The sequence below is a fragment of the Homo sapiens genome, chromosome 21, assembly GCF_000001405.40.
Source record: "Homo sapiens chromosome 21, GRCh38.p14 Primary Assembly".
Classification (NCBI taxonomy): domain Eukaryota; kingdom Metazoa; phylum Chordata; class Mammalia; order Primates; family Hominidae; genus Homo; species Homo sapiens.
The window spans coordinates 6919654-6934219 of record NC_000021.9 but is presented as its reverse complement, the minus strand read 5'-3'; the positions used below and the strand labels follow the sequence as shown (position 1 = coordinate 6934219).

The following is a 14566-nucleotide window of genomic DNA, read 5'->3' as shown; positions in this document are numbered from 1 at the left end:
GATCTACAAAGGTCATATACATACATTACTCCCAGTTTTACAGCTAGACATGTAATGTGGAATCAGTTCCACATATGAATATAGATCAGTCTGAATCTAAAAGTCATGGTGTTCCCATGATGACTCATGAGTTTGCTTCTTGAATGTGGAAACATACGATGCTTTGCATATGAGGGAAGATAAATGTAATTGATGTTGGGTATGCAATGTACCTTTTTTCTTCAGGGACTCTTATTGGGACTTGTAAGGACACATAAATGAAAAACAGTTACCTTCTAGTAGGTCTAAATGTCAGTGTAGCATAACAAGGGGATGGGCGCAGAGCCCCTGGAAGCAGCAGGGTTTATGTTAGAGTTGAATGTTCCATCTTTGGAGCTGTTTGTTGGATAAATGAAGAAACACAAAAGTAGTAATTGTTCAGGAGGTAGCAAGTGGCATGTGGTGTTGGTTTAATTAGAAGAGGTGAAAGCAGAGCTGAACTATTCAATGAAACAGACATTTATTTAGCTCTTACCTTCAATGAAACAGACATTTATTTAGCTCTTAATATATATATTACACAATGAGAGAATACAGTGATGCCTAAACCATGGCAGGGTACAATAGGATATAATATTATACGAGATGGTGCACTGAAAGTGGTTTTTTTTCTTGTTTTAAAAGCAGCTTCTTTCTTGCTCTAATCTTTGTAAAACTAAAAGCAAAATCTGCACCTGTGTGGAGGAGATATGGTGCAGAGCTCTCAGTAAGGACTGAGCCAGTTAATAAATTTGCAGCCCCTTTTCACCTTGTCACCATCTCGCTGTCTATATGGCAGCATCTGTGGCCTCTATCACACATTTTGCTTCTCTTACTTTCTTTATACTCTTATCCAGTTCAGCTTTGTTTGTCATCTCTTATGCAACCTACACAAGTGGAATTCTCCTTGGACTCTTTTGTCTCAAACATAAATTGAAAAACCACAACTTTGGCAATGGCCTGCTGGGTGCATTTCAGTACACTATATCTCAACCAACTGAGTCAAAAGGGGCAACTTGTTTTTACTGACAACCTAAAGACAAAGGCTCTTCAGGGCTATGAGGAAAGCTTACTTTGAAAGTGCAGTAAAGGGGATTTTAAAGAAGAAAACAAATGGCAATGGAATTTTACTGTTTCCAGGAAACAAAAAATTAGAATTTGTAGACTCTAAACTCAGACTGCTGGAAAAATAATTGGGCCTTTATTTGTTCCCTTTAGAAAAGAGAAAAAAAAAATCTCTTAATTCTCCTGGGAGAATTAATTGCAGATGGAGAGTAGATTCTTAGGAATTTCTCACAAGGGAATCAATGGCACATCCTGCCTGCCCTGTCCCCAAGCTAGATCAGCTGCTTCCTGGCCAGGAGACCACAATTATCACGTGACTTCAGTGGCACTGGCAGCTCCCCTACATACCAGACCCAACCAATAGCTCATGTTGAGAATGGTGCCTGAGAGGCCCCAGTGAACTGGCAGGGGGCATGGGGCTTTCTTGCTGGAGAGAAACCTGTCCAATGACTTTGCAGTGTGCTCAAGGTTTACATGGGGTTTTCTGGAGAGATAGTGGTAGGGGTGAAAGGCATTTATCTGAGCTTTGCCATTGCCTTTTTCTAGGGCCTTATCCTAGCTCTCTTGCTCTTCATTCTTACCATGACAGAAAATACGGAGCAATCACAGGGACTCTTTTCTTGTATAAGCAGAGATATCATGCACAGATCTGGTGACTCTGAAAATGCAGTGGGAGGGGCTCAAGAGCTCTCATGCATTCAAGGTGGAAAAAGCCCCTCACTACTCACTGTACATCCATCCTCAAACTGACACACGTTGGCTCTTCTCTCATCCTCTAGAGCTAAAACATAAGCTGAAGGTGGCCCTACACTCCTTCTTCTTTATAGGAACACATTGCCCATGAACTGAGTCAGATAGCCCCATAGGAAAACATAGGTGAGAAAAGTTTGGGGAAAGAACTTGAAGTAGCATGAACTAGAGAACACTCTGGAAGAGTTAAGAAAAGGTGCACTTTTTTTCCCCTAGGAGGTCCAAGGACTGTGAGGAAGATTCAATAGAACTATTCAATAGCTAGTTATTCACAAGATTTATTTCTTTCCACACTGTAGGCAGTGTTTCCCAGTCTCCCTTGCAGTTAGGTGGCATGCAACTGCATTCAGCCTGTGGGAAGTGGGCAGAAGTGATTACTGACCTCAGCCACTTACCCTCCTGTGTACAATTCTTTCTCTTCACTTGCTACTGAATATTGACACTCAGGGAGATCCCAGAAGCTCCATGCTGAAAATGGTGGATCCTCTTTCAGCCTCAATCTCTGAAAGACTATGTAGACCCTTCTCTCCTCTTCTCCTTATAAGTAGAAGAAAGACCAGAGCATGCTCTCTCTCCCCCTGCCCAGCATTGAGAGCACAGAGGAAAGAAGATGTGAGGGCATAGTGAGAAGGAGGCCATCTATGAGCTAGATGTTGTGGGAAGTCAGGGACCCCGAATGGAGGGACCAGCTGCAGCCAAGGCAGAAGAACATAAATTGTGAAGATTTCATGGACATTTATCAGTTCCCCAAATTAATACTTTTATAATTTCTTACACCTGTCTTTACTGCAATCTCTGAACATAAATTGTGAAGATTTCATGGACTTTTATCACTTCCCCAATCAATACTCTTATAGTTTCTTATGCCTGTCTTTAATCTCTTAATCCTGTTATCTTTGTAAGCTGAGAATGTACATCACCTCAGGACCACTATTATATAAACTGATTGTAAAATATGCGTGTTTGAACAATACCAAATCAGTGGATTTCATCACCCGATTTGTGCATGATATCTCTGCTTATACTGAAAAAGAACAGAGTAACAGATTTTCAGGGAACAAGGGAAGACAACCATAAGATCTGACTGCCTGCAGGGTCGGGCAGAATACAGCCATATTTTTCTTCTTGCAGAGATCCTATAGACAGATGTGTGAGTAGGAGAAATATCGCTGAATTCTTTTTCAAAAGGAATATTAATAATTGATAACCCTGGGGAAGGAATGCATTCCTGGGGGTAGGTCTGTAGACGGCTGCTCTGGGAGTGTCTGTCTTATGTGGTTGAAGTAAGGACTGAAATACACCCTGGTCTCCTGCAGTACCCTTGGGCTTACTAGGATTCAAAAATTCCAGCCTGGTAAATTCTAGTCAGACCGATTGTCTGCTCTCGAACCCTGTTTCCTGCTAAGATGTTTATCAAGACAATGCATGCACAGTGGGACATAGACCTTCATCAGTAATTCTAATTTTGCCTTCACCTTGTGATATGTATTGCCCTTTGAAGCATGTGATCCCTGTGACCTACTCTCTGTTTGTACACCCCCTCCCCTTTTAAAATCTCTAATAAAAACTTGCTGGTTTTGTGGCTCATGGTTGCCATCACAGTCCTACCAATATGTGATGACACCCCCAGGGGCCCAGCTGTAAAATTTCTCTCTTTGTATTCTTTCTCTTTATTTCTCAGACCAGCCGACACTTAGGGAAAATAGAAAGAACCTATGTTGAAATATTGGGTGCTGGTTCCCCCGATAGCGAGGAAAAGAGCCCTCACTAGACATCAACCCTGACAGCATCTTAATCTTGAATTTCTAGCCTCCAGAACTGTGATTTAAAAATGCTTTGTTTTTTAAGCCAAACAGTCTATGGTATTTTGTTATGGCAGCCTAAGCAGACTAATACAACCATAGATCCCACTCTCACCCTAATCCTTGTTGCAGATTGAATTTTACATTATGAAAAATAAACATCTCTTTTTGTTAAGCCACTGAGATGTCAGGCTTTATCTCTTACAACAGCTGGTGTTTAATTTCTGATACAAAGACCACATAGAGCTAATCAAGTGTCTGATATCCCTTTTCTCAAAATGTACAGGCTGGATTTTTATAGGCAAACTCTACCTTAAGTGCAAAACATTCCTTAGGGTCAATACCCAAGCTTATTACCAAAAAAAAAAAAAAAAAAAAAAGCTAACTAATACTTCATTAACAGATATTTAAAAAATAAGAATACTTATTTAAGCCAGCTAGTTTTTCAAACATTTTATGACTCTTAGCTCATTTCATTCTCATAGAAATCTATGAGGTATAATTCTTTTTTTTTTTTTTGCGTTTTTAAATTTTTATTTTTTAGAGACAGGATCACTCTGTCACCCAGGCTGGAGTGCTGTGGCACAGTCTTGGCTCACTATAGCCATGGCCTCCTACGCTCAAGCAATCCTCCCATCTCAGCCTCCCCAGTAGCTAGGAGTACAGGCACGCACCACCACGCCTGGCTAATTTTTGTATTTTTTTGTCAAGATGGGGTCTCACTATGTTGGCTGGTCTTGAACTCCTGGCCTCAAGTGATATGCCTGCCTTGGCCTCCCAAAGTGCTGGGATTACAGGTGTGCGCCACTGCGCCTGGCCAGGTTTTTCACAAGAAACCCAGACCGTGGGATTAGGATGCTGGAGAAAGTGGAAGCCGCCCCCATCCGCACCCCCACCACACTTCCCTGCGTGCATCCCACAGACGTTGTTCCCAACACTCGCTCTACCACAAAAATGGTTTTGTCGCAAGCATTGGTTTGTGACCAGCTCCTCTGAAGCCAGAAGCCCGTTCTCTAAGGAGCTGGGGCTGGGCAGCCAAGCCGGCCCCGGCTGAGAGAGCATGGGATCTGCTGCCTGTGGCTCCTGTACGCCTGTCTGTCCCATCGGCTGGGGCCTTGGAGGGTGTCCAGGCTGTCTCTGTGGATGCCGTGTCTGCTCGTGTCAGGGAAGGGCCAGGACACTGAAAAGAAGGGACGCAGGCTCCAACTCGCCTCGGCCACCCACTCTCCAGGCAGCCTTGGCAGGGCTGCTGGGGCTATGAACCCTGAGCAGGCAGCAGGGCCAGGGGAGGTCGGACCATGGGGGCTCACAACAAGAGGGGCTGTGCACAGGGGCCACCCACATGCCCTGGAGCCAGGAGGCCCTGGAGTCCCTGGGACCACCCCCACCCCAGGCAGCCTGGGAAGGCTCAGGGTGCTGGGCCCCCACCTGGGAGCTGAGAGTGGTCCTGCTCTGCACTTCCCAGACACCCCCAGCAGGGTGCACCACCACACCCAGCCTGCCCAGCTCTGCTGCAGGACATGGGCCAGCGAGGCCCCACAGAGCACTGGGACGGGGGGAGCTCGGGCAGGGGGAGCCAAGCTGGGCGTCAGGGGCCTGGGGACGCACCACCCCCTTGGTTTCCACAACTTGAAAACAAGAACTGATCAGTCACTGATTCACAGTCCAAAAACCAACCCCCAAATCCCAGGGCTTCTAGCAACAAAGGAGGACCTCTCTCACTTCTGGGTCAGCAAGAACTTCAGGGCTGGGCCCACTCCACGTCTCCTCCCTGCAGAAGGACCCTCTGCTCTCCGTCCCCAGAGCAAGGCAGTGGGCTGCCTGGGTTTGGAGCAGCTGGGTAGGGCGAGGGCAATGGGTGGGATAGGGGGGATGCAGCCCAGGGGGGTGCAGACAACAGGCAAGGAGCAGGCCGGGGGCCTTGCCAGGGCCATCTGTGTCCCTGGTCACTGAGGGTGGCAGGGGAGACTGGAAGGGAAACAGACACCCAGGTGGGGAGGGCCCCAAGCCAGTCCCCACGCCAGCCCCTGCAGGCCTCAGTGCTTCTGGATCCCACCAGGGTCGCAGCAGGAACCGAGGCTGAAGCAAATCAGGGCGGCTGGTGGCACAGCTGGGGCCACACCCAGGCACAATTCCTTTCCAACACAGCCAGGAGACTATCTTGGCGGCACCAGTGCCTGCTCAGGGACGGACTTGGGGCCTCCACAACTGCAGTCCCTACGAACCCTGTGCACGGTACACCCTGACTGCGTGGGGGCTGGGGCCCCCAGTGGAGGGATGTGGCTTGTTGTCCTGAGGAGAGCGGGGGCAGCTGTCCCAGGGTGGGCCCAGCCCTGTGAATCAGGGAGCAGCTCATGGGAATGGCCCTGGGGGTGCAGGGGAAGTTCACAGAGCCATTTATTGAGCCCCACAACCGACCAGAGGGAAGGGCGTCCACCAGGCTCAGGCCATGGTCCTTGAGGGGCTGGTGCTGTCTACTTGGCCCACACATGTGTCCCGAGGAGTTGTGGCATGCCCGCTGCCCTGGTCAGAGCTGGCCACCATCTTCCAGCTGCATCTGCCGGGCCAGCGTCTGCCCAATGGCTAACAGGGGGCTGGCTCTGTAGGCCGGACTGGCCAGCAGCTCCTGAAACCGGGTCCTTTCTTCCTCGAGAAACTGCTGTCTCTGGGCTGCACTCATCCGGCTGAGCTCTGAGGGCCAGGGCTTGTTGCTCTCCCTGCTGCAGGCCTGGCGCCGGCTGCCAGCCTCAAGCCCCAGTAGCTCAGGCAGGGCATCCCTGAGCGGGTGCAGGTCCCCCACCACCATCCTGGCCCCCTACCTCCGCTCCTCCCTGTGCTTCTGCTCAGCCAGTTTTATGGCTTCGATTTTCTGCAACCATTGCTCACGCCTCAGCTTCATTTTCTCCTTGGGCAAAACGGTCTTGGCCTCTGCACCTCTCCTGATGGAAGTGACGCTCCTTACGTCCAGCTCCAGCTTTTGCACCAAGGCGCTGGGGTCTATCTTGGTCCTGGCAAAGATGTTGGTGTTGACGAACGGAGGTATAATTCTTATTAGTCCTGTTTTTATAGATGAAGACAATGAAACAGCTATTGCAAACTTATAACTGAGAAAGAGATCTGACCTAACCAACTGCATCTGCTTTTAACCTCCAAGCTGTCCTTGTTCATTCCTGGGTGTAGGGTGAACTAACTTTGGGAGGAACTTACTTTATAGTGTAAAACGAAGATGTTAACACCCCTTTCTCAAAACAAACCTCCTTCTTGCCTGGGGACTAGACTGCCTTTGTAAGACTAACAAATTAGCTACAAAATTAGAAATTGTGGTTTAGGAGTCATGCAGCTAGAGGCTACAAGATTCTAATCCTCCCTAAACTGCTCCTAAGATCAGTGCTTGAGGTATTTTGCAGACCCGGCACTTGATGGATCAGCTGGCACCCAGTTTATTGAAACACTCAGATCGATAAACTGGCTCATCTGATCTTGTGGCCCCCACCCAGGAACGGACTCAGTGAAAGAGGACAGCTTCAATTCCCTATGATTTTGTCTCTGACCTAACCAATCAGCACTCTGGACTCACTGGCCTTCCTCCATGCACCAAATTATCCTTAAAAACTCTGAAAGCTCTGGGAGATGGATTTGAGAAATAATGAATCTCCAGTCTCCTGTACAGCTGACTCTGTGTGAATTCACTCTTTCTCTATTGCAATTCCCATCTTGATTAATTGGCTCTGTCTAGGCAGTGGCCAAGGTAAACCCACTGGACGTTTACAACACTGAGGCACAGACAGGTTGAGTGACCAACCCAAAGTTTCACAGGACACAGTAGAGTCAGGATTTGAACACAGACATTCTGACTCCAGAGTCTATGCCCTTAACCACAACTCATACTAATTCATTTATCTTTTTTGTCCATGTTTTCATTTATTTTCTTTAATCTACAATAAAACTTTGATTTTTACACTGGCTGAGGATGAAGTAAGAATGTTGCAAATAGAAAAATGTTAACTGAAAGACACAATTTATCTTATTCTAGCACCAAAAATGATCAGGCCTATTTTGACCATGAATCTCGCAAGCTGTGCTCTCTAAACTTTTGGATGAGAGGGCGTAGGCTCAGAGTCTGGGAACTCTGTCTCCCTCGCTCCCTCTACTAAGTAGGTTCCATGCTCTATTCAAGTTTGAGAGACTCTGCTTGGTTGGGGCCTGCATTTATGTTACTCCTATTCTTTATACTTGGCACATCACAGACCATGAAAACGTAATCTGGTGGAAATGGCAAGTTTGGATTTTTAATCTCAGTTGTTAAAATTTTTCCAAATGAGAACATTTGGACACAGGGCAGGGAACATCACACCATAGGGCCTGTTGTGGGGTCGGGGGAGCGGGGAGGGATAGCATTAGGAGAAATACCTAAGGTAAATGACAAGTTAATGGGTGCAGCAAACCAACATGGCACATGTATACCTATGTAACAAACCCGCATGTTGTGCACATGTACCATAGAACTTAAAGTATAATTAAAAAAATAAAAAATTTAAAAAAATTTCCAAATATATTTATCTTTTGAATAATCTAAGGCCCTTATCCCCCTAAGGTTTACATGGCATAGTTCATACTGCTTTTACTTTTCAAAGCCGTTAATCTTTTGTAATAACATTTTGTATTCAGTTATGTTCCTTTGCTTAGTTTTCAACCTTGTTATTCACCAAGCTGATTTTATTAATTAACACAGAGAGAGTCAGGAGTATCTGAATTAATTAGGTGATAGTGAACTAGGAGGAAATCACAGGCCTCAGTGTGAGACAAATCTGGATTTAAATCCCAGCTCTAACTCAGTCCATGACCTTGAGGAGGTCAGGTGGGGTCACTGGGCTCAGTTTCCAAATCTCTAAAATGGAGATGACAAAATCCACCTCACAGAATTGTTGAAAGGACAATTACATGTTTGAGAACATGTTACTGTAGTGTCTATAACCTATCACGTGTATAGCAAATGATGATGATGATGATGCTAATTTAAAAAATATCTATTGAAGGTCCCAGAAGTTTTACTTTAACATGTTGATTTTTGTCCCATGGAAAGGCACATGATTTGGTGGAAAATATAACCCCAAATGTTATTATGCATTGCTCTGTAAGATATTAACAAGTTTTATATATAACCCAAATATCTTAACATTTTAAAATTAAATGGTCTATAAATACCTAGCTCCTCAAATATTGTTTGAACTGGTCTTAATATCTAATTGTTTCCCCACCTAATTAATGAGTTGAACAAAATCCTTGCCATATATTCATATTATATTTGCATCAGTGTCCTAATTATATCGTTTGAAATTATACTTTAGCAATAAGAATAAAAGTCATAATCCAAATGTTAGCACTTAGCATGGGAATGAGTCTATCAGTCAGGGTTTAGTCAAGAAAAACTGGTTTCTCTAGATAATCCAAATTAAAAAGGTTTAATGCAGATGTCAAGAAGCCTATACAACCATTGGAAGACTAGGGGAAGCTGAGGTCAATGAAGCCACGGTGGACAACCTCAGCTCAGCTCCCAGCTGAATAGTTTCCTCTTCATTGTCCATTGTCCTTGAACTTCCAGATATTTCTCTTCAACCATCACAGTCTGCAGTGATGAAGGAGTGGCTTTCTGGTGGAGCCTCTTAGCATCTCATGGTTGTCCACATTTCTGCCTTTAACCCCCTTTAGCCTGTCATTTGTTTCAGCCTTCCAAATCTTCAGCAAGGGAAGGGACTTCTTGGTAAACCAACCTGTAACCATATGGGAAGGGCATTCTGCAAATATAGCTCCCAACTTTTCTGAAAGACAGAGGAACCCTTAGAAGGGAGAGTTGGTGATGCCAAATTGGCAATAAATAACCCAGGACTGCAGCTCAGCTCAGCACCTAACTCCATAGGGCACTCACTCACTTCAGGAAGGGTGCATTTACTCAGTAAGACAGATTAAAGGATCACTTGGTTGGTATGGACTCAGACAAAAGTGAGCTAAGTGATCTTTAAACAAATTTGACCAAGCTGAGAAATACCAAAGACTTATGATTTTTCAATCAGAAAACACAGCATGGAATAGCAGAAAGAGTACCAGACTGGAAGCCAGAGAACCTGGAATCCAGCTCAGCCTATCCTGAACTTGCTAGCTGGGGAAGCCCTCAGGGTGGTCACTTCACCTCTCTGTAATTCAAGTTTTGTCTTCTATGAAACAAGGAAAATAGTATCTGTCATGCCTCAGAGAATCACCACAAGGTTAACATATGTGGAAATATTTTAAAGTGTACAAACACCATATCAACATTAAAGTCCCCATATGAACATGAAGACCTAAGGTTTTCTTGGTTTAGTCTGAAGAAGCTTCCAACACAAGGCTGGATTAGGAAAGATGAAAATGAAATAAAAGTTGGACAGGGGCTGGGCGCAGTGGCTCACGCCTGTAATCCCAGCACTTTGGGAGACCAAGGCGGGCAGATCATGAGGTTAAGAGATTGAGACAAGCTTGGCCAACATGGTGAAACACCGTCTCTACTAAAAATACAAAAATTAGCTGGGCATGGTGGCAAGTGCCTGTAATCCCAGCTACTCAGGAGACTGAGGTAGGAGAATCACTTGAACCTGGGAGGCGGAGGTTGCAGTGAGCCAAGATCACACCATTCCACTCCAGCTTGGGTGACAAGAGCAAAACTCCATCTCAAAAAAAAAGTTGGACTGGGAGCCTTACAGAGTTCACACATATTTGTAACATTCTTCAGATGTCGTGTGCACAAATTGGAGTTATTAGTCCAATATTTATAAAGAAAAATCATATTTTGAATGTAGCCAAATAACTTCCTAATTAAAATGATATGATCCTTAGAAGGTTTTTGGGGAGGAGGTAATGGAGAGAGGATCAGAATTAGGAGGATCAAAGTAGAATGCATATACTTGAAAGTAAATATAAGGCCAGGTGCGGTGGCTCACGCCTGTAATCCCAGCACTTTGGGAGGCCGAGGCAGGCGGATCACCTGAGGTCAGCCTGACCAACATGGAGAAACCCCGTCTCTACTAAAAACACAAAATTAGCCGGTCATGGTGGCGCATGCCTGTAATCCCAGCTACTCAGGAGGCTGAGGCAGAAGAATTGCTTGAACCCGGGAGGTGGATTGCAGTGAGCTGAAATCGGGCCATTGCACTCCAGCCTGGGCAACAAAAGCGAAACTCCATCTCAAAAAAAAAAAAGAAAAAAAAGAAAAGAAAAGAAATATAATCTTTGGCCAAAGAAAAATAAAAGCTCTACCTAATCAGTCTGCAGAAATGCCTAGAAAATAAACCATCTTCTAAGTATATCAGCGATTTTAAAGATGATAAAGTATGAGGAAGGGGGGGAGTTGTCTATGAGAAAAAGTATATAATTTTACAACATTTTATGTTTATTAAAAGGGAGCATGGGTTAAAACCACCATGAGAATTAGGTCATCAAACCATGAACAATAGACTAATATTCCCCCAAAATTCCTACGTTGAAATTCTAATTCCCAATATGATGGCATTAGGAGATGGAGCCTTTCATAAGTGATTAGTGATTCATGAATTGGTGAATGAGATTAGTGCTCTTATCAAAGACGTGCAAGAGATCCACTGCAAGAGAAATCAATTGCAGGAGAAGACACAGAGAGAAGACAGCCATTGTCTGTGAACCAGGAAATGGTCTCACCAGATACTGATTCTGATAGTGACTTAATCTCAGCTTTCCAAGCCTCTAGTACTGAAAGAAATAAATTTATGTTGTTTATAACCTACCCAGTTTATGGTATTTTTGTAACAAAAATTTCTGTAACAGCCTAAATGGACTAAGATACCATCTCTAAGTAGAACAGTCATCCTAAAGTAGTTACAACACAACAAAAACAAGGGAAAGACTTAATTGAAAAATTTCATTCATGAGATGTAATAAACTAGGTGAATTTAGTAATGGGAAATGATTCTGCGAGGGACTTTTAGCATTTTCACCCTCCAGAAGCATGTCAGAAAAATCTAGCACATTATTCCCTGGGTGGGACAGATTTGGGAGAATGCATGCTACCTTATCAGCTCTCTGTCCCTCCCTGGGAGACTGATGCTTCCCAATGCACAACTCAATTCAAAGTAGCAACGTACTCTGAAATTTCATCTCTTTCTTTCTTCTTTCTCTTTCTTTCTTTCTTTCTTTCTTTCTTTCTTTCTTCTCTCTCTTTCTTTTTTCTTTTCTTTCTTTCTTTCTTTCTTTCTTTCTTTCTTTCTTTCTTTTTCTTTCTTCCTTCCTTCCTTCCTTTCTTCCTTTCTTTCTTTTCTCTTTCTCTTTTTTCTTTCTTTTTTTCCTTCCTTCCTTCCTTCTCTTTTTCTTCTTCCTGAGACAGGTTCTCACTCTGTTGCCCAGGCTGGAGTGCAGTGGCATGATTATAGCTCATTGCAGCCTTGAACTCCTGGCCTCAAACTATCCTCCCACCTCTGCCTCCTGAGTAGCTGGGTCTACAGGCATCCACCACCATGCTTGGTTAATTTTTTAAAGTTTTTGTAGAGATAAGGTCTCACTCTCTTGCACAGGTTGGTCTTGAACTCTTGGCCTCAAGTGATCTTCCCACCTCAGCCTCCCAAAGTGTTGGGATTATAGGTGTGAGTCACCATGCTCAACCCAGAAAGTATTTTTATGTAAAAATAAATTATGCAATGGCATTTTATGAACTTCAAAGAAAAATACTTTGTGTTGTTCTCATATCTGAGAATAAAAATGATTAATTTTCTAAACAAAACATATTCTGTTATTTTACAACTTTTCTCAAAATGGAAGGGTTTAAATTGTGATTAAAAGTAGTAGGTAGAGTGTACACCTATGTTCATAGCAGCATTACTTACAATAGTCAAGATTAGAAACTACTCAAGTGTTCATCTACAGATGAATGGAAACAAAATTTATATATATATATATATATATATATATGAATATTATTCAGCCTTAAAAGGGAATGAAACTCTGACACAATACTACAACGTGGAGGCATCTTGCAGACATGCTAAGTAAAATAAGCAAGCCACAAAAAGACAAATACTATGGGTCCACTTACATGAAGTGTCTAAAGTAATAAAATGCATAGAAATGGAAAGTAGAATTATGGTTGCCAGGAGCTGAGGAGAGGGGAAAATGAGGAGTTGTTTAATGGGGATAGAGTTTCAGTTGTGACAGATGGAAAAGCTCTGGACATTGATTACACAACAATGTAATTCACTTAACGCTATTGAACTGCACACTTAAGAATGGTTAAGATGGTAAATTTTATGTTATGTGTATTTTACCACTATTTTAAAAATTAGTTGAAAAATAGTAGGCCAAAATTTGTTTCTAACTATGGCTTCCCACCGCCATTTAGGGGGAGTTTTGTTGTGAAATTTTAGGTGATTTACTTTGTCAAATTTTACTGAGTCATGGGTTTGTTTTCCCATGGAAAAATTACTAAAATAAGGGCATGTGGAAATACATAACACTTAAGTCACTTCCAGGAGAGGTATTGCAAAGGTGTGTCCATAAGACTTTTGACTTTGATGAGATAAAAGCTAGGCTGCCTTTTCTTCCTTCTCACTGCATCCCATCTCCCAGGGCCAGCCCGTTCCTCAAAAGAGTGAAAAACATAGGAAAATTACTGCCTTAACTATCCTGATCTTCATTTTTTTTCCTGTGTAAAATGAAGACATTAATAAACAATGCCTTTCTTGTTAGAAATGTAAAGGTCAAACGTAAAGAAATGTGAAATCCTAAGTCCTGCATGCCTTCTACCACTGATCTAGTCACGTGTGCCAGCTGAACATTCCCTGGGCTGCAAGTGATGTGACTGATGGTTTTATCCCTGGTTTTCCCAGGGAGAAATCTAGACACAGAAATCCTGAAAAATGCCTCTGCGGAAAGGTGGATCCAAAGTGGGTCTTCTAAGGGAAGCTGCAGAATGTTTCTCCCTCAGCCTATAGTTTGACAGAATGCTAAGATATCAAGATGAAACTCTGAAAACCCGAGGATTTTACATGGATTTCATTATTCTATTGAAGACCTACAAAAAAAAGTGGCTGATAAATATATTTTTAGAAATTGCTTTAGTATGATTTTTATTAATTTAAATTAACATTTATTTAATTAACTACATAAAATCTGTGTATAAAAGAGGCAAAAGATTATTCTTGCTCTCAGCCAGACAGTTGCTGATAAGGAAGTTTCGACAGGAATCTCATAGAATAAGAGGGCCCTGACTCAACAACCATCAATATGGTTGGAATGTGGTATTTGCTCTTCCTGGAAACAATGCTTCTCACTCATAGAGTTTATATTCAATGTGGTGTTAATACATAGACCTCATCCAACTATCTGTCTGTGAAATCTGAGTTCCTACTCAAGTCAATATCCTGTAATATGCTAAACAAAAAACCTCCTGTATTAGTTTCCTGAGGCCACTGTAACAAAGTACCACAAACTGGGTGGCTTAAACAACAAGAATGTATTCTCTCACTGTTGTGAAGGTCAGAAGTCCAAAATCAAGGTGTTAGCAGGGACACCCTTCCTTGGAAGGTTGCAATCCTTCCTTGCCTCTTTCATCTTCTTCTGGGCCTTTGCATTTCTTGGTCTGTGGCAGGATAACTCCAATCTCTGCCAGAGGTTACAAATGGCCTTATACCCTGTGTCTCTGTATTTTTCCCTCTTCTCATACAGACACCAGTCATTACACTAGATTTTTGTATGCACTGTAAATCCAGGGTGGTTTTATCCCAGAATCCTTTTTATATCCCAAATATATCTACAAAGATTCTCTTTTCAAATAAGGTCACATTCTGATGTTCCAGGTTGGAATGCTCTGAATGTTTGTATACCCCCAAAATTCGTATGTTCAAACTTTTTTTTTTTTTTTGAGACAGAGTCTTGCT

The 14566-nt window shown here is 43.2% G+C and overlaps 1 pseudogene, besides 1 other annotated feature; it reads right to left on the bottom strand.

The window, feature by feature from the left end:
• Positions 1 to 14566: part of a sequence alteration artifact (region identified as an assembly artifact by the Genome Reference Consortium. This region falsely duplicates sequence located at GRCh38 chr21:13654079-13799312) that runs on past the window's edge.
• On the bottom strand, positions 6163 to 9220 carry LOC101059907 (ribosome biogenesis protein SLX9 homolog; annotated as a pseudogene).